At 53.2% G+C, this 15896-nt stretch overlaps 2 protein-coding genes and 1 long non-coding RNA gene across 9 annotated transcripts in view, besides 6 other annotated features; 1 reads left to right on the top strand and 2 right to left on the bottom strand.

Moving 5' to 3' along the window:
• Positions 1-344: part of an enhancer, noted in NCBI's record as "H3K4me1 hESC enhancer chr1:15742803-15743302 (GRCh37/hg19 assembly coordinates)", that runs on past the window's edge. NCBI's record gives its function as "activates a minimal SCP1, AML or CMV promoter by ChIP-STARR-seq in naive H9 embryonic stem cells {active_cell/tissue: H9 hESC(naive)}" and the evidence as "EXISTENCE:reporter gene assay evidence [ECO:0000049][PMID:30033119]".
• EFHD2 (EF-hand domain family member D2) overlaps positions 1-6763 on the bottom strand; it is a 20452-nt gene extending 13689 nt beyond the window's left edge. For all 3 annotated transcript variants that reach the window (NM_024329.6, XM_005246000.4, XM_047430233.1), the window contains exon 1: positions 6372-6763. In NM_024329.6, the coding sequence (NP_077305.2) occupies positions 6372-6679 (308 nt within the window). In that variant the 5' untranslated portion in view covers positions 6680-6763. The remainder of the gene's footprint in view (positions 1-6371) is intronic.
• Positions 7-96: an enhancer, noted in NCBI's record as "active region_237". NCBI's record gives its function as "activates an Ori minimal core promoter by ATAC-STARR-seq in GM12878 lymphoblastoid cells {active_cell/tissue: GM12878}" and the evidence as "EXISTENCE:reporter gene assay evidence [ECO:0000049][PMID:35858748]".
• Positions 4283-13672, top strand: EFHD2-AS1 (EFHD2 antisense RNA 1). Of its 5 annotated transcripts, none has more exons than NR_183707.1 (5): positions 5538-5660; positions 8744-8814; positions 10803-10991; positions 11730-11849; positions 12507-13672. It is a non-coding gene; the product is annotated as an EFHD2 antisense RNA 1 (long non-coding RNA). The 5 variants fall into 5 exon arrangements; NR_183709.1 differs by lacking the exons at positions 5538-5660; positions 11730-11849 and adding exons at positions 6833-7048; positions 11087-11529; NR_183705.1 differs by lacking the exons at positions 5538-5660; positions 11730-11849 and adding an exon at positions 4283-4745.
• Positions 4852-4901: a silencer, noted in NCBI's record as "silent region_302". NCBI's record gives its function as "represses an Ori minimal core promoter by ATAC-STARR-seq in GM12878 lymphoblastoid cells {active_cell/tissue: GM12878}" and the evidence as "EXISTENCE:reporter gene assay evidence [ECO:0000049][PMID:35858748]".
• Positions 6141-7003: an enhancer, noted in NCBI's record as "H3K27ac-H3K4me1 hESC enhancer chr1:15736144-15737006 (GRCh37/hg19 assembly coordinates)". NCBI's record gives its function as "activates a minimal SCP1, AML or CMV promoter by ChIP-STARR-seq in primed H9 embryonic stem cells {active_cell/tissue: H9 hESC(primed)}" and the evidence as "EXISTENCE:reporter gene assay evidence [ECO:0000049][PMID:30033119]".
• Positions 6141-7115: a biological region, named in NCBI's record as "H3K27ac-H3K4me1 hESC enhancer GRCh37_chr1:15736144-15737006".
• Positions 6516-7115: a silencer, noted in NCBI's record as "silent region_301". NCBI's record gives its function as "represses an Ori minimal core promoter by ATAC-STARR-seq in GM12878 lymphoblastoid cells {active_cell/tissue: GM12878}" and the evidence as "EXISTENCE:reporter gene assay evidence [ECO:0000049][PMID:35858748]".
• FHAD1 (forkhead associated phosphopeptide binding domain 1) overlaps positions 13641-15896 on the bottom strand; it is a 166490-nt gene continuing 164234 nt past the window's right edge. Inside the window, exon 35 of the mRNA XM_047443734.1 lies at positions 13641-15896. The gene's annotated coding sequence lies outside the window, so the exon portion shown is untranslated.

Here is a 15896-nt window from a genome sequence, read left to right as displayed (position 1 = left end):
TGACTTTGGACAAGTCACATAACCCTTCTGAAAGTCCAGCCTCCTTAACTGTGAAATGGGCGAGGATAATGTTGCAGGATAAGAAAGGACTGAACGGGAGGCAAAGCATCTGGTTTGAAGTGTCTGTGGCTCAGGACTCCCTGGGCGGCCCGGCTCCCATCTGGCCACACCTTTCTGGCACTGACCCCTGCCTCTCTGTTGTCCTTGAAAAGCAGAAGTCAGCCAAGGAGAAGGTTGCCCGGCAGTCAGGGGAACTCAGCTGCTCCAGGGTGTGGGGACCTTCCCTGCTGAGGCTGCAAAGTGACTCTGCCTCTGCCGGCAGGGCTGGCCTTGAGGAAACGACCTCTGACATCCCCTGAGGCAGCAAGGCCTGCTGTCCTGGAGCCTAGACTCTCACAGTGGAAGCCAGTCCAAGCCACCAGGCCTTGGACCCAGGTAGCATGGAGGAGAGCGAGGAAGCCGGAGAAGGCAGGAAGGGTGGACCAAAGAGGAACCAAAAGTCCTGGGCCGGGGGTGTGGGGAAGGAGAGGTGACTCAGAGGCTGATGCATAGTGGAAGTGGGAGGAACGGAGTAAGGACCGAGGCCAGGAAATCCTTCCTCCCCAGGGGTGCAGGGCATTCTCCCCACCCACTGACCCTAAGCTGCAGGTGAAGGACCCCACCTCTCCACCTCTCTAAGGCTCTCGGAGGCTCCCCCAAGCCCCAGCCACAAACACGGCTTCACTTGGCCTCCAGGGGCTCCTTGCAGGAGGATCTGGTTCTAATCCTGTCACTGCCACTTAATATAATCTTAGACAAGTGACAATCGCCTTGAGCCTCAGTCTTCTCATCTGTCAAATGGGGATAAAAATGATAGTATCAGGCTGGGAGCGGTGGCTCTCGTCTGTAATCCCAGCACTTTGGGAGGCTGAGGCGGGCAGATCACTTGAGGTCAGAAGTTCGAGACCAGCCTGGCCAACATGGTGAAATCCCGTCTCTACTCAAAAATACAAAAATTAGCCAGGCATGGTGGTGTGTGCTTGTAGTCCCAGCTACTTGGGAGGCTGAAGCAGGAGAATCACTTGAACCCAGGAGACGAAGGCTGCAGTGAGCCAAGATCATGCCACTGTACTTCAGCCTTGGTGGCAGAGCGAGACTCCATCTCAAAAAAAAAAAAAAAAGGAAAACAAAGACAGTATCAATCTCATTGTGCTGGTGTGAGAATTCAATTCAGTTCTCTAAATAATATGCATAGGCTCCTCCAGGAATGGCTAGAACTAGTGGCTCTGTTTAACAAGGAGGGGGCACAGAGGCAGGGGGCTGGCTACAAAGAGAACATCAGCATGGTGTCATTCATGAGAGCTTTCGGTAATCATGGCAGAAATAAAGAAAAAAACCTTCCATTGCTAGCCTTGTGGGTGCAATCCTCTCTATCCCCAAACCTCTATACATGTTTGTTCTATATAAGGCTATAAGCCTCTTGAGGGCAGGAACTTGATTCATTTAATTCTCTGGATCTTGTAGCGCAAAAACTTAATATCTGTTGGAAGAATGATCACATACGAGAACCTTGTATTTTTCAAAAACATCATCTATCATGCAAACAGCCCAGACACCATGATGGGCTCGTCACAAAGACTCAGGGTGTTTTTATACCTAATCCTCAGAACTTTACCAGGTAGGTTCTTGAGCCCCAGGGGAAACTGAGGCTCAGAGATGCTGAGTCCCTTGCCTGGAGCAACCCAGCTGGGTGGTGGCAGACGGGAATCCCCATTGTGCACCCTCCAGAGCTGTTGTTTGCTCTCCCCTTTTTTGTGCCACCTGCCTTCCCTGAAACTAGGTGATAATGAATTCATTTCTCCCTTTTTGTTATTTATCAAAGCCATATGTAGCTGTCAATCAGAGTGGCTGTTCAGCAGGAGAGAAGGAGGGCTCTAACCCTGCGTCCTGTCACTAGGGCCCAAAGCAAAGGGTTGTCGACAACCTGGCAGACCTGGAAGCTCCGCTGGTGGTTAAGTGGAGGCAGCCAGTGGGCACTGTGGAGCTGCCTCTGAGCCAGCCGCAATGACCACTGCCAGGGCCCTATGAGGGGCCCAGGAGAGGGTGTATGCTGAGCTGGGGATGGCGGTGACAGTCATTTAGTAACGACTTGCTCTGTGCCAAGCACTGGGCTAAGCGCCATACAACAACCCTGTAACGTGGGTCCCCCTGTCCCCGCTGTTCCAGCGTGAGGAACAGAAGCTCAGAAGGGCTCCACAGCCCACAGCTGTATTCAAACCCAGGGCTGCAGACTCCAGAGGCCCTGCTGACTGCGTCCAGGAAGGGCTCCTGGGAGAGGTGTGTCCCCTGGAGGTGGAGGTGTGGAGAAGAGGGCGGGAGGCTTCCAGAGCTTGTGCAGGGAAGAGCTGGCCAGAAGGAAAGGAAAGCCTGCCTCTCTGACGTAAGGTGTCCTGAGATGAAGTGGCTGGGGATGACAGTGGGGACAGGGCCTGCAAGGCTGTGCTAGGCGGGAGACAGGGATCTAGGGCATCGTCCTCAGATTCCACGGCAGGTTCAGAATTACACGGCTGCCTACCTTTCCAGCAGGTCTCAACTTACAAAACCCTCCAGAGCCCCCGCTAGGCTGTTGTCAGCCCAGGGGTGGGCACTCCCGAGGCTCTCCAGGGCCATTCTCTTTGCCTCTCTGACAGGAGGGTTCCAGAGCCAGCCCTGGAGGAGCAAAGAGAGGGAGGGAGCAGCTGGGGGATCAGAGATGCTGGACGTAGCCTGAGGCCGCACGGAGACGGGGATGGAGAGTCCTGGCTGCGAGGGCCAGGGAGACGCAGAGCCTCCTTGTGCCTGGCACTGGCCCAGAACTCTAAGTGTGTCATGTCCTCGGAGCCCCACCCTGAGACACCGGGACCACTCTCCTCATCATACAAGGTTTCAGCCTCACTGAGAACCTCTCCGTAACCCCGAGCAAGTCACCGCCACATCTTTCTGGGTCTTGGTTCCCTCTTCTGTCAAATGGGGAGAGGGGTTGGAGTCAACCCTTCAGGTCTCTCTCAGGAGGAACCTGAATGACTCTAGGTGTGAGACCAGTGATGGCTGACAGTCTGTCTATCTTCCCCCATCCCCTCTCTTCCCCCTCGATCTCCAGCCTCAGGAAGTACCTGCTGAATCAACACGGAGGGGTGGACCAGAAGGCCCTGGAAGGCAGTTCCAATATCCAGAAGGGCTCAGGACCCCTCAGACATACGCAGGTCAGGGCTGAAGGACCTTTGGGGGTCATGAGGGATAGCCTGCCCCTTTTACAGGTGGGTAGACTGAGGCCCAGGGAGGACAAGCAGACTAGGATGGAAGCCCAGGTTCCTCGCTCCTGGCCCCCAAGGAAAGGCTGGCTCCCATTCTCCTGCTGACCTCATGGTCTCCTGCCTCCTGCTCTAGTGACTGGCTTCCCAGGAGGGCAGGCTCCCCTCCTCTCTGCCCTCTGCTCTCCCCAGAGCCCTGGCTCTGATGCCCTGGCTTTGATCCTAGGACCCTGCTTGGACCCAGGAGGCTGCAGCCCCACTCGGACAGCGGAAGCAGAACGGGGGTTTGTCTTCCACGAGAGCCCGTCTGTTGGCGGCGGGGTTGGGCTCGGTTGGCACAGTGAAGCGTTGTTTCCTTGAATACACAATCTGCAGCTTTCCACCCTCACCCGGGCCCTGGCAGGCAGCACTTGCTTCCCTAGAGGTCCAGCTTCCTGGCCCCTGCCTGCCCCATCAGCCCTCCTAGAACCCTGGCAAGAAGTGCAGGTGCCAAGGGGTAGCTTGGAGGGGTCCAGCTCCCCTCAGTCGCCCTCAGAGTACCTCTCATCAAACTAGACCAGAAACAGCCTATGTAAAAAAAAGTGAGTTTGCTGCGCAAATGAAGCTTCCAGACTGTTCCCTCAGCTGCATGCCACTTCCAACCACACTGCAGCCTCCCAAGTCCCGCTCATTTGAAGTGTCTGGGTTCTCCCAGAACAGCTCCATCTTTGTTTTGGTGGCCAGTGGCAGGGAAGCTGTGGAAGCCCAGGAGAAGGCAGGCTCTGGGGGAAAGGAGAGACGGGGGCTGGGGTTGGGGACATGAATGGACAATCCGCCACGAACACGGAAGCGGGTGTTGGAGAAGGTTTTCCAACATGAAAGTAGATGTCTGTGATGGGAAACCCGGAAGGGGAAGAGCCCGGGATTTGGAGTCACAGACCTGGGTTTCAGTCCTGGCTCTATCATTTTCTAGCTGTGTGGTCTTGGCGAGTTATTTAACACCCTTTGTCTGCACAAAGGTGACGAAGAGCTCTGTGTCACAGGGCTGTTTGAGGGACCTGGTGAGCGCCTCAGCACTATCAGCACAGGGATCTCCGTGGTGTCTGAATCAGCTCTGCACTGCCCGATGGGGGCAGTGACAGACAGTGATCCATACCCACCCCTGCGTCTGCCCACCCAGGAGCATTCACGTTACTCTTCCAGGAATCCTGGAAATCCTGCTCTCCCAATCTCGCCAGTCTTCTGCTGGGAAGAAACTTTAGAAGAACTCCAACCAAACACCGTGGAGCCAAGGACGTGGGCGCCCTGGGACTTTCTTGAAGAGGTTCTGGGCCCTGGGACTTTCTCAAAGAGGTTCAGAGGGGCCGGGGGTCAAGGACTTGATTTTCCCCCAGAAGGACCTTGGGAAAGTATGGGACTCCTCAGCCACCCGCAACTGGGAACCAGAAATCCTTCCCCCTGCCTTGGGGCCAAATGCAGAAGCTGCTGCAAGCTGTGGTGAGTAGGGTCAGAGCCTTTCTCAAACAGTGCAGTTGCAAAACGCCCCTTCCTGGGCTTCCGGCTTGATGTTGGGGCACTGACAGCTGCATGTGGCTGAGGCTGACACCCCTGGTCTGCCCCCACCTCCTGCCCAGCCAAGCGGGAGCCGGCCTTGCCGCATCCCTCCCTCAGCCCTGGGCTGCCTGTGCCAGGTGGGGCTAGACCTCCTGGCTCACCCCCAAGACTCAGCCTCAGGCCAGTTCTATCCCCTTCCAGAACCACTCCAGACCAGCACCCAGATCGTGGAACGAGGCTGTTCCCTCTCCAGGAGCCAGGGGCAGGGGGACAGGGAACAGGAGGTGGGGAAAGCTACCAAAGGGAGGGGCACTGGCACCTTCCCCATCCCCTGGGCACACACATGGCTGGGAGAGAGTGGCTGTGCATCTTAGACCCAACAGAGTGGGACCCAGGGATGGGCCGGAGGGAGCTGGGCCCTCTCTCCCTAGCCCCTCCACAGAGACATTAAGATTGTTTTTGTGGGGGGACAGGGGGATGAGCCCACACGCCTGGGGGTGCCCATCCACCCTGGTGAGGGCACACAGTGTGGATCTGATGGAATAAAGGGTAGGGGTGGGGGTAACAGGGCAAGTCACATAGGAAGGGGCCCCTTTTGACCAGGGTGGGTGTGGGACATGGGGGGTCCCTGTGGGGAGGGAAGGGGATATACGGAGTGGGGAGGAGAGATGGGGGGCCTTGCGACAGAAGCAGGGGAGCGGTGACTGCAAGCTGCTGGGTGCACGGGGGTGGGGCGGGCAGGAGCGGGAGGGAGGCCTTCCAAACCCGGAGGGGACTCGGCCCACAGGGACGACTGGAGTGAGGTTTACACCAGAGGGGCAACAGGGGCCGAGGGGTCCCTTCCTAAGGAGACCACTTGTGAGTGAAGGATTTGGGTCCTGGCTAATGAGTGGGTGGGGATGGAAAGGGCAAGTCTTTGCCCCCAGTTTGCTGGTAGACGCTAAGTAACTGGAGAGGAAGTTGGGGGGATCCCTGCCCAGAACCCACCTTGAGGGAGACCTGAGATCGCAGAGGAAACGAAAAGACCTTAAGGGAGGGAATGTGGTTGGCATGTGGTGTCGAGGGGCACTGGGGTGGGTATCTTTGGCCAGCGTGTGTTGGGGTGGGGGTGGGGAACGCGAGTAGCTGGGATCGGGGAAGGAAGGCCGCTGGGTCCTCAGCCTCGGTGTGTGCGGTGTGGGGTGGTGGAGAAGCCCCACTAACAGCGCGGAGGGCCCGGGACCCACACGTGTGGTGGTGGGGGTGGGGCTCGCGGGGCCTGGCGATTATCTGGAAGGAAGCCTGGGGTCCCCCACTCTGTGGACGCGTCTATGGTGTACCGGAGGCAGCACAAATACGAGTCTCCGCCGCGTGCCAGGGGCCGGGGGTCCCCCAGACTAACGTGCGCGGTGAGATGCCGGGTCTCGATCTGGAAGGGGCCGCCGGGTCCCCAACCCCGGTGCGTCTGGGTTCGGGGAAGCTTGGCTGACGGCAGGCTCCCGGGGCGGAGCGGGATCCGGGGATCGGGGGGTTCGGGGCCCGAGACCGGGTCGCGGGGCGGGCGGGGGGCCGGGTCGCGCGGGCACTTACTGCTTGAACATCTTCTCCATGTCCTTGATCTGCTTCCTGGAGAACTCCTTGAACTCGGTGTAGGGGTTGAAGACGCGGCGGCTGGGCGACTGGGGCTCGCCGATGCCCTGGTTGAGGTCTGCGCGCCGCAGCAGCTTGGCGCTCAGCTCGCAGTCCGCGCTGCCCAGCGCCTCGGCCGCCTCGTCGGGTGCCCCCGCCGCCGCCGCCGCTGCCCCGTTCAGCCCGGGCTGCTCCGGGGTCTCGCCGCCGCCCTCGCCCTCCATCTGCAGCCGCCGGCTCAGCTTGGTGGCCAGCTCGTCCGTGGCCATGGTGGCCCGCGCGGCACTCGCCTTGGCCGGGCCCCTGCTCTCAGCGCAGCGCCGCCGGCCGCGCTCTTCCTCTTCCTGACACTCCCCGGGCCAGGCACCGCCCCCGAAGGTGGGACTTGGGCCCTGGCGGGGACCGCGCGCCCCGCCCCCGCCCCCGGGCCCGCGCGGCGTGCGCGTGATCGCTCCCGGCCGCCGGGGGTCGAGTGTACTCTGCGCGCCCCGCCCGCCGTCGTCTGCCCCCCGCGAGGCTGGGGAGCGCGGCCGAAAGCCATGCCCCTCTTCGTGCCCACTGTAGCAGCTGAGCGGGAGGGGTCCTGCTGGGGGCCGGGGCCGGGCGGGAAAGAAGAGGGCTCCTCCCCCGCGGCTTGGGTGAGGAGCGGGGCTTGCCGGGGGGCGGGGAAGCGAGGGGGGGCGCCGCCCCACCCCCTTCTCCGGAATCCCCACGCCGTGAAGTCATAATCCTGTGTCTGTGACACCCTGTCGGTTGCTATGGAAACGACTCGCTGTTAAACACTGGCGTTCTCAATGAGGGTTGCAGGGGTTCCGAGGCGGACCTGGGGAGCAGAAACCCCTGTTTAGGGTGAACCGTGGCGGGCGCCGATGGCCTCTTGGAAGAGGACAGACTAGCAGCTGCGAGGGAGATGGGACTGGGTTTCACCCCTGAAAGGGCCCCTGGAGACAGCGGGTGAGGGACAGGGGAAGGGGCTGGTGGTCCTCTCTCCCGAGGCCCCGCACCATCACACGGATGACTTGGCACAATAGCTGCTGGGCCAGTGTTGTCGCCTGTGACTGTACTTTAGGGAAACTGACAGGGAGATCATGATGTCGCCATTTTGATGGGGTCCCCAGAGGAGAGATGTCCTCCCCAACGGCTCCTGGACAGGACTGGGGAAAGAGTTCAGATAAGTATCTCTGTGGTCTGGGCTGTCACCTTACAACTGCACAACTCTGGACCTCCAGCATCAGAACCACTGGGGCCTAGGTTAATAATACAGATTTTCAGGCTCCAATTTGGACAGACGAAACTGATCTCTGGGGTGGGACCCAGGAATCTACGTGTAAACAAGCACCCAGGGGAGTTCTGCTCACTGAAATTTGAGAATCCCTGATTTAGAAGGAGGACTATGCTCTGTGCATGTTCTCTGAAATGTTGGGTCAATCAGGACCTGTCTACTGAAACTGCTCCAACCAGCCAAGGTGCAGAGAAAAGATGCGTGCAGGGCCGAAAACCAGGGTGCTCTGGAGGCAGGGAGCCCTCGAGAATGTAAAGCCAGCAAGCTGTTACAGAGTGATTTGCACAGAACAGACACTCAGTTGATATTTGTCAATTTGCTGTGTTTAAGAACCTTGCTGAATTAATTTAAAAGGTATTTTTAAAAGAATGAAATTGAGGAAAAAACCTTCAAGGTTCAGAAAATGTGAAGTTCTCATTTACTTGTTTATGAAATTGTTTTTGAGTCCAATAAAGATGCTCAGCTAAAATGGTTTTTTTGTTTTAAATCTCAGAATTAAGTTTCTCTTAGTTTTGGGCAGTTCGGTCCAGCTACTTGCAAAAGACAGGCTTCCATATCTCCTGTATGCAGCCCTGAAGGACCCAACAGAAGTAAAATAGTTATTTAAGGAATGCAAAGGACTAGGGACAGGATGCAGATTAAAATGTTTAAGATGATGTCTGCAGATGATGTTTGTAGATGCTTAAGTTTGTTGAATTCTTAGTCTTCCTCACAAAGCAGCTAATTACTTTCAAGACTCTAGTGAGCCTCAATTTACTCCAATTTATGATTTCCAATGGTTCTGCATAAAACTGGGTTGCCGTTTTATGAAATTGTTTGCATCTGCTTGACGTGGGCGCAAACTTCACAGTGAGGAGATAATGTGAGGGTTTTGCCTTCTTGCAAAACAACTTACATATATATGTGAAAAAACTGGGGTTGGGGTTTGAATTATGTGGACTGCCTGTGCGTAGTAAGCTCTCTGGTCAGTTACCTATTTGGCTTTGTGTGGACACAGCTCTTAGGAGGGAGGGTGGTGGAATTCCTGCTCATTACCTATAGTATCTTGCAGGAGGGCTGCTGAACGCCGGAGCCTTACAACTGTTAAACTCAGGCAGAGCTCGGGAAATGCTGCCCGGATGGGTGAGTCCTTTTAACACCTCTTGGGTTGATTTTTCTCACAGGTTTTCGGGGTTTGCAGAGCTCTGAGACTGTGACCACAGGGTGAGACCTCAAGCTGCCCAGTACTGTGGCCCCATTTCAGAGGCCTTGGGCCTGGGCCAGAGATGGACGCTGGGGCTGCCTTTTACTCCAAGTTTTTTTCTTCATTGGTCATTGGTCATTGGGCTCCAAGAAAAGCACTTTTTCAGGAATCAAAGAAGCAGTGATGGAACGAAAAGCAGAGAAAGCTGATGAGCCCTGAATGGAGGTGAAACTTCCAGGAAATATCACTTGCCTCTTGATTAGGGGAAATCACTTTTGAATGACCCCGAGTTTTGTGCCCCAAGCATAGATTCTGGCAGAAAGAAACAGTCTGGACTGATGACACACTACAACATTTGGTCATGTGGAAAGAATGATCTTCAGGAAAAATCACACCCTTGGCAAAGGCTTTTTACAGAGGCAAGGGCGAGCCGGCCAATTCTGACAATATTCCAGTGGCAAGGGAGCCAGGCTGACTCAGTCATCATTACTTGTGTTTCGTCTCTTCCTCCCACATCTCCTTGTATAACTGTCTTTTGGGGAGGGGTGAAGTGATAGTAAGAAAAACAACAGCACTTTGAAAAAGGGACAGGGGGAGAAACAAGAAGGGGAGAAAGAGTTGGGGAGAGCTCTTGGGTGATGGGGAGATAGCACTGGGGATGTTCTGGAGCCTGACAGAACTGTGTGGTCCCTCCAGCTGGAGATGCTGGGAAAACAGGAAGGGATTCGGGAGACGGCAGGGATGAAGTTGGCTCATGAAATGCAGGGCTCCCTTAGCACTTTACAAATACCAGCTTACAAACACTCCACAGTCATCAGGAAACCCTTGATGGATGCTGCACAGAGATCGAAGTTCAGGAGCAGCACCAATATTCATCCGGGGCAATTGGAGTGAGAGCAGCACAGGATCACAGCCTGATTTGGCCTCAGAGGCTTTCTTATCTCTTGCAAGATCTGGAAGCCATGCAAAAGGTGTCATGGGGAGAGGCGCTGATGTCAGGCATTTATGGGACCACTGAGTGGGGGCAAAGAGGCAGGAGAAAAAGCCAGTGATGATGGGTCGACACCTGCAGGTAGACCCATTTGCAGGTTATTAGAAACTAGCTTATTTATCCAGCTTTTTTTTTTTTTTTTTTGGAGATGGAGTCTTGCTCTGTCGCCCAGGCTGGAGTGCAGTGGCGTGATCTCGGCTCACTGCAACCTCCACCTCCCAGGTTCACGCCATTCTCCTGCCTCAGCCTCCCAAGTAGCTGGGACTACAGGCATCTGGCACCACGCCTGGCTAATTTTTTTGTATTTTTAGTGGAGACGGGGTTTCACCGTGTTAGCCAGGATGGTCTTGAACTCCTGACCTCGTGATCCACCTGCCTTGGCCTCCCAAAGTGCTGGGATTTCAGGCGTGAGCCACCGCGCCTGGTCCTCCAGCTCTCTTTTTGTGGTTATCTTAGACGCTATGAATCTACTTGAAAACCAAGACGATTGATCCTTTAAGTGAGCTGCAGGTGTCCACCTGGGCGTGTTTTCTGCTTCTAAGCCACAGGCAATTCGGTGTGCAAGTTTAACACCCTGATAGGCCCTAGCCTTAGCTCTGTTTTAAACTCCCAAAAAGTGTTTTTGTGTTTGTGTGCATGTGGGGGAGACACCTTAAAATCCAGCAATGCTGTGTCCACAGTGCTCTCCTGGGCCCCTTCCAAAGATGGGAATAATATGGGCAGCTGGTTTCGATTTTTATAACTTGCAACAGCTACTCTGTGAAAGCGGTGTGCAGCAACAGCCAGGCAATCCGGACAGACTTATTAAATGTGCTGGGCACTGGGCACTGGGCACTGGGCACTGGAATTCTCCTGGTTGTAGGCAAGCTGGGGGACAGGGAGGTGAGAGCTGGAATAGTCATTCTGAAGTGTGATATTTATTGGACCCCATACTAGGTGACTGATGGAGAGGGGCTACCACTCTTCCAGCTAAACTCCGCTCTGGTTGGGACCCAGCAATTATTTTCCATAGCGAAGTGTTAATAAAATATCTGTTACTCCCAACACAACCTCCTGGGGGAAGGGACCTGTCTGTCTGCTTCAACTTTGGATCCTCAGTGCCCACATCAGGATACCTGGCCTGAGGTGAGTGCTGTAGAAATAGCTGTTGAATGAATGCATGAGGGCCTGCTCTGCCTGAGGGCTGGGGACAGATTGGGTGTTTTCTGTGTCCCCTCCAGAGCATCCGGTGACCCAGTTTTAGGTCTCAAGGTCACTGCCAAGAAAGAGAAGCTGCTAAAGTGACACCTCTGTGCACCCACATGACTTAACACAAAAGTTAACAGGAGCTCTTCAAAAACAAGCCTCTCGAGTGTCTGTCTCCTGTTTTCCCTGAGGACAGCATCAGTGGCATCAGATAGGGGTTGGGGCTGGGTGACCTGCTGGTCCTCAGCCATCACTGTGGCCCAGAGGTCATTTAAGCAGCTCTCTGCTTAGCAGACAGGCAGAGGGAATAGATGGAAGGTACAGGTAAACACTGCATGTGGCCACCGCGAGGATACCCCGGAGCCTGGGAAACAGACAGGGACGTCGTAAAACCAACACATAATGGACCAGTGCAGAGACAGGCAAAACCAGTCAGAAGAAATAGGATGGTGCCTAGCCCAGGGACACCTGACTTAAGGTATTTTTGTTTGTTTGTTTTGTTTTTTGAGACAGGGGTCTCTCTCTGTCACCCAGGCTGGAGTGCAGTGGCATACTCACTGCTCACTGCAGTCTCAACCTCCCAGGCTTAAGCGATCCTCCCACCTCAGCCTCCTTAGTAGTAGCTGGGACTACAGGTGTGCACCAACACATCCAGTTCATTTTTGTATTTTTTTGTAGAGGTGGAGTTTCGCCATGTTGCTCAGGCTGGTCTCGAACTGGGCTCAAGCGATCTGCCCGCCTCGGCCTCCCAAAGTGTGGGGATTACAGGCGTGAGCCACCACACCTCGTTGACCTAAGGTATTAACTAAAGAAAGCAGGTGATTCTCAGGGGGGCTATGAAAGCAGCATGCCTAAGGGACAGGAACGTACCATGAAGGTGTTGTCTTTTGAGGCTCAGTCCAGGAGAAGCAGGTCTTTTAGACCCAATGACAACGCTCCCTAGTGTGCAGGTGCGTCTCTCTGATGACAAAAGGCAGTGTGATTGTGATATTTTATATATATATAGTTTTTGTTATTGTTGTTTTGGGGACAGGTCTCACTCTGTCACCCAGACTGGAGTGCAGTGGTAAGAATACGGCTCACTGCAGCCTCAAAATCCCAGTTTCAAGCGATCCTCCCACCTCAGCTTCCTGAGTAGCTGTAACTACAGGCATGCACCACCTGGCTAATTTTTCAAATTTTTTTATGGAGACTGGGTCTCATTATGTTGCCCAGGCTGGTCTCAAATTCCTGGGTTTAGGCAATCCTCCTGCCTCGGCCTCCCTCAATACTGAGGTTACAGGCGTGAGCCACTGCACCAAGCCTATATTTTGTTTTTTGTTCACGGTTCCTGGCTTATAACTCCCATGGCCCTTGTTACAGTAAACACGATCTCCCTCCCTGACATTCTTCTACCCTCCTTTCACCTGCCCACAGCAGGACTTTAATCTGATTCTGCGTGTAATCTCATTGCAGAGAGGGTCCTGCCGGTATTACCCTGGAGGAAGGAATGCTGCACAGAGGCCGAGAGGAATTTGAACAGACTGGCCTTGCTGGGTTTTTATCTCTTTTTGTCCAATCCCATTTTGACACAGTTGTCCATGCTCCAATCATGCTTATCCAATGAAGTTTCCATAACAGGCCTGAGAGGACAGGGTTCAGGAGCTTCCGGACAGCTGAGCAGGTGGAGGTTCCTGGAGGGTGGTGTGCCAGGGAGGGTGTGGAAGCTCTGCCCCTTCCCCCATACCTTGTCCTATGCATTCCTTTATCTGCATCCTTCATTTTATTTTATTTTTTTTTGAGACGGAGTCTTGCTCTTGTCGTCCAGGCTGGAATGCAGTGGTGCGCGATCTTGGCGCACTGCAACCTCCGCCTCCCGAGTTCAAGAGATTCTCTTGCCTGAGCCTCCCGAGTAGCTGGGATTACAGGCACCCGCCACCATCCCTGGCTAATTTTTGTATTTTTAGTAGAGATGGGGTTTCACCATGTTGGCCAGGTTAGTCTTGAACTCCTGACCTCAGGTGATCCACCCACCTCAGCCTCCCAAAGTGCTGAGATTACAGGCGTGAGCCACAGTGCCCGGCCTGTATCCTTTATAATATCTTTTATAAACAACCAATCAGTAAATGTGTTACTCTGACTTCTGTGAGCTGCTCTAGCAAATTAATCAAATCCACAGAAGGGTCATGGGAACCCCAACTTGAAGCCTGTCCGTCAGAAGTTCCAGAGTCCTGGACTTGTGACTGGTGTCTGAAGTGGGCAAGTCTTGGGGACTGAGCCCCTAGCCTGTGGGATCTGATGCTATCTCCACATAGATAGCAATGGAATTGAATTGGCGGGCACCTGGCTGGTGTCTGCTGCAGAGCTCATTGTTTGCTTAGTGGTGGAGAGAAGTCTCCCTCCACATGTGGTCACAGCATCTTCTGTCTGTGTTGATTGCTTTTGATGTTGATCGAGAGAACAGGAAAAAGCACATTGAATGTCTCAATGATGAAGATGACAATAATCTGGCTTCTAGGTTGTTATGCGGCAGGCAACAGCTGTGCAGATCCTAATAATCTACTCTGGGTGACAGTTTAACACAGGGGTTGGCAAATGTGGCCCACTTCCTATTTTTATAAATAAAGTTTTATTGAAACATGGCCATGCTCATTCATTTACATATCATGCTGCTCTGCTAGAGTTGAGTGGTGGTGATAAGACACCTATGGTCAATAGAGTCCTTTACAGAAGAAAGGATTTACTATTCGGCCCTTTACAGAAAAAGTCTGTCATCCTGCCCTCATTCATTAGTAGACAACCAGCTGGTTCCTGGACTTCCTTGAGGAAAGTGCTATATTAAGCAGTTGTGGGTATAAAGTCTGGGCTCCAACACTTGCTCTGTGACCTTGGGCAAGTTACTTACCTAGTCTGGGCTCATCATTTTCACAGGTATAACAGGAGTAATGACATGGTGGGGATGAAGTGGGATATTGTCTGGACCACGCTTTGCATAGTGTCTCATGGCTAGGAAGTACTCTATACAAAGTAGTTACTATTATTAGCTATTATATTTCAACTGATGAAAGGTACAAAGAAACTCCCAGGAAGCGGGTCATTGCTGCATGCCGCTGTCTTTAAAGAACGCCCAGCAGCAATCCCATACGTAGCCAACAAGATATGTGGACGTCAAAAGTAAGTGCTCCTTGGGTGCAGCACACCAACATGGCACATATATACACATGTAACAAACCTGCACGTTGTGCACATGTACCCTAAAACTTAAAGTATAATAATAAAAAAATTTTAAAAAAAAGTAAGTGCTCCTATGCAACATACCCAGTAAATTAATGATTCCAACTTCCTTTTCAGTTAAAGCAGTGGATCAGAATTTGAAAAGGAGTAAAGGTCAAGGCCATGAGGTCTAACTAACACGGTAGCATCAGAGCCTGGCCCATAGTAGGCCCCCAGTGTCTACCGGCTGAATGGATGGAGGCTGGTTGTTTAACTGTCAAACCATACTCTCTGATGATAAGACCACAGTTAGCCAGAAGATAAAGTTTCTGCCTCCAATATTTTTGGGTCTTAGAAAGGAAAACAGTTTGCTAAAGATGACAGGAAACTCAAAACAAGGACCTGTTAATGCTTCCCCCAACTGGACGGAGGCATTGCAAAAGGATTCCTGGGCAACAGATGGGCAAAGAAAAATGTTTAAAAACAAAAGCAGGCACATAAGGTCATGAATTGGCCCAAAATAACCTGGGACACTGAGCAGACGGATGCAAGCAGTGCACCTGACGGAAATGAGGCCAAGCTGATGAGCTGAAATAGCCTCACTGGTGCCCTCCATCCTGCTTTAGGAGGCCTCAGCATGGCAAAGAGGCATGCATTAGCGTTATTAGGTTTAGGTTTCCTCACATCCTTAGTGGATTGCCTTCATTCCTAAGTCCCTAAAAAATTGGAAACCACTCCACTTACCAGGAGCACACTTTGGAATGCAGATCTGGAAGCTATTTTTTCCCTCCAGACATTTCATGACTTTGGTTTCTACAACAGCAGGCGATGGTGATGCTGCCAAGTTTCAAGAGAAGGGCACCTTATCTGCAAAGTCACGAATCCAAGGATCCACATGGGCTCCCACTGGCAAGGGCGGAAGGAAGTTGTGTGTCTTAGCTTCTTGAAAGATCAGAAGAAGATTGGGAGGTTTGGGTATACAGGTACCTCACTGTACTGTGGTGCAACCCCCAGGGGAAAGACTGCTGGTAGCTTCTCAGAATCAGTAGTGGGTGGGGGCTGTGTAGCAGAGCGTCGTAGTAAATGCCCATTTGGTTGCAATGAACAGAAACTCAAACCAGCTAAAGCAAAAAGAGGGCACCTATAGGGAAGAAAAGCCAGCTCCTGATGTCCAAGCCTGACTCTTCAGCTTTGCATAGCCACTGATTCTCTGACCTTCCTCATTTCCTCCCAGTAAACTCTCTTTCTGTTTAAGTTAGCCACAGGAGGTATCTGTTGTTTACAACCAAGGGATCTTGAGTGATACAAAGGGTCCTAGTGGAACCCAAGGGCAGGTACTGGAACTGGCCTTCACAAGGAAGGGAACTGGGAATCAGAAAGTCATTGGGAATCAAGGTAACTTTCTTCTGGGTCAGCTGGGAATGTATTCAGCTTCAAATAGCAGAAAACCCAATGTGAGTAGATTGTAAAAATCTGGAGCTCCTCCCACACAGACTCTGGCTTTATCTGATGGGATATTAACAAACATAAGGCAAGTAGAAACTTGAAAAGTGCTTGTGCACTGGGGCTTGTTCTCACCTGCTGTTCTTGGCAACCTGTGGCCACCACATGTGAACGAGCCTAGTCCAGTCGGCTGAAGGATGAGTGGGCCTG

Source organism: Homo sapiens, chromosome 1 (assembly GCF_000001405.40).
Source record: "Homo sapiens chromosome 1, GRCh38.p14 Primary Assembly".
NCBI classification, from domain to species: domain Eukaryota; kingdom Metazoa; phylum Chordata; class Mammalia; order Primates; family Hominidae; genus Homo; species Homo sapiens.
Note: the sequence above shows the minus strand (reverse complement) of the source record. Positions and strands in the feature narration are given on the sequence as shown.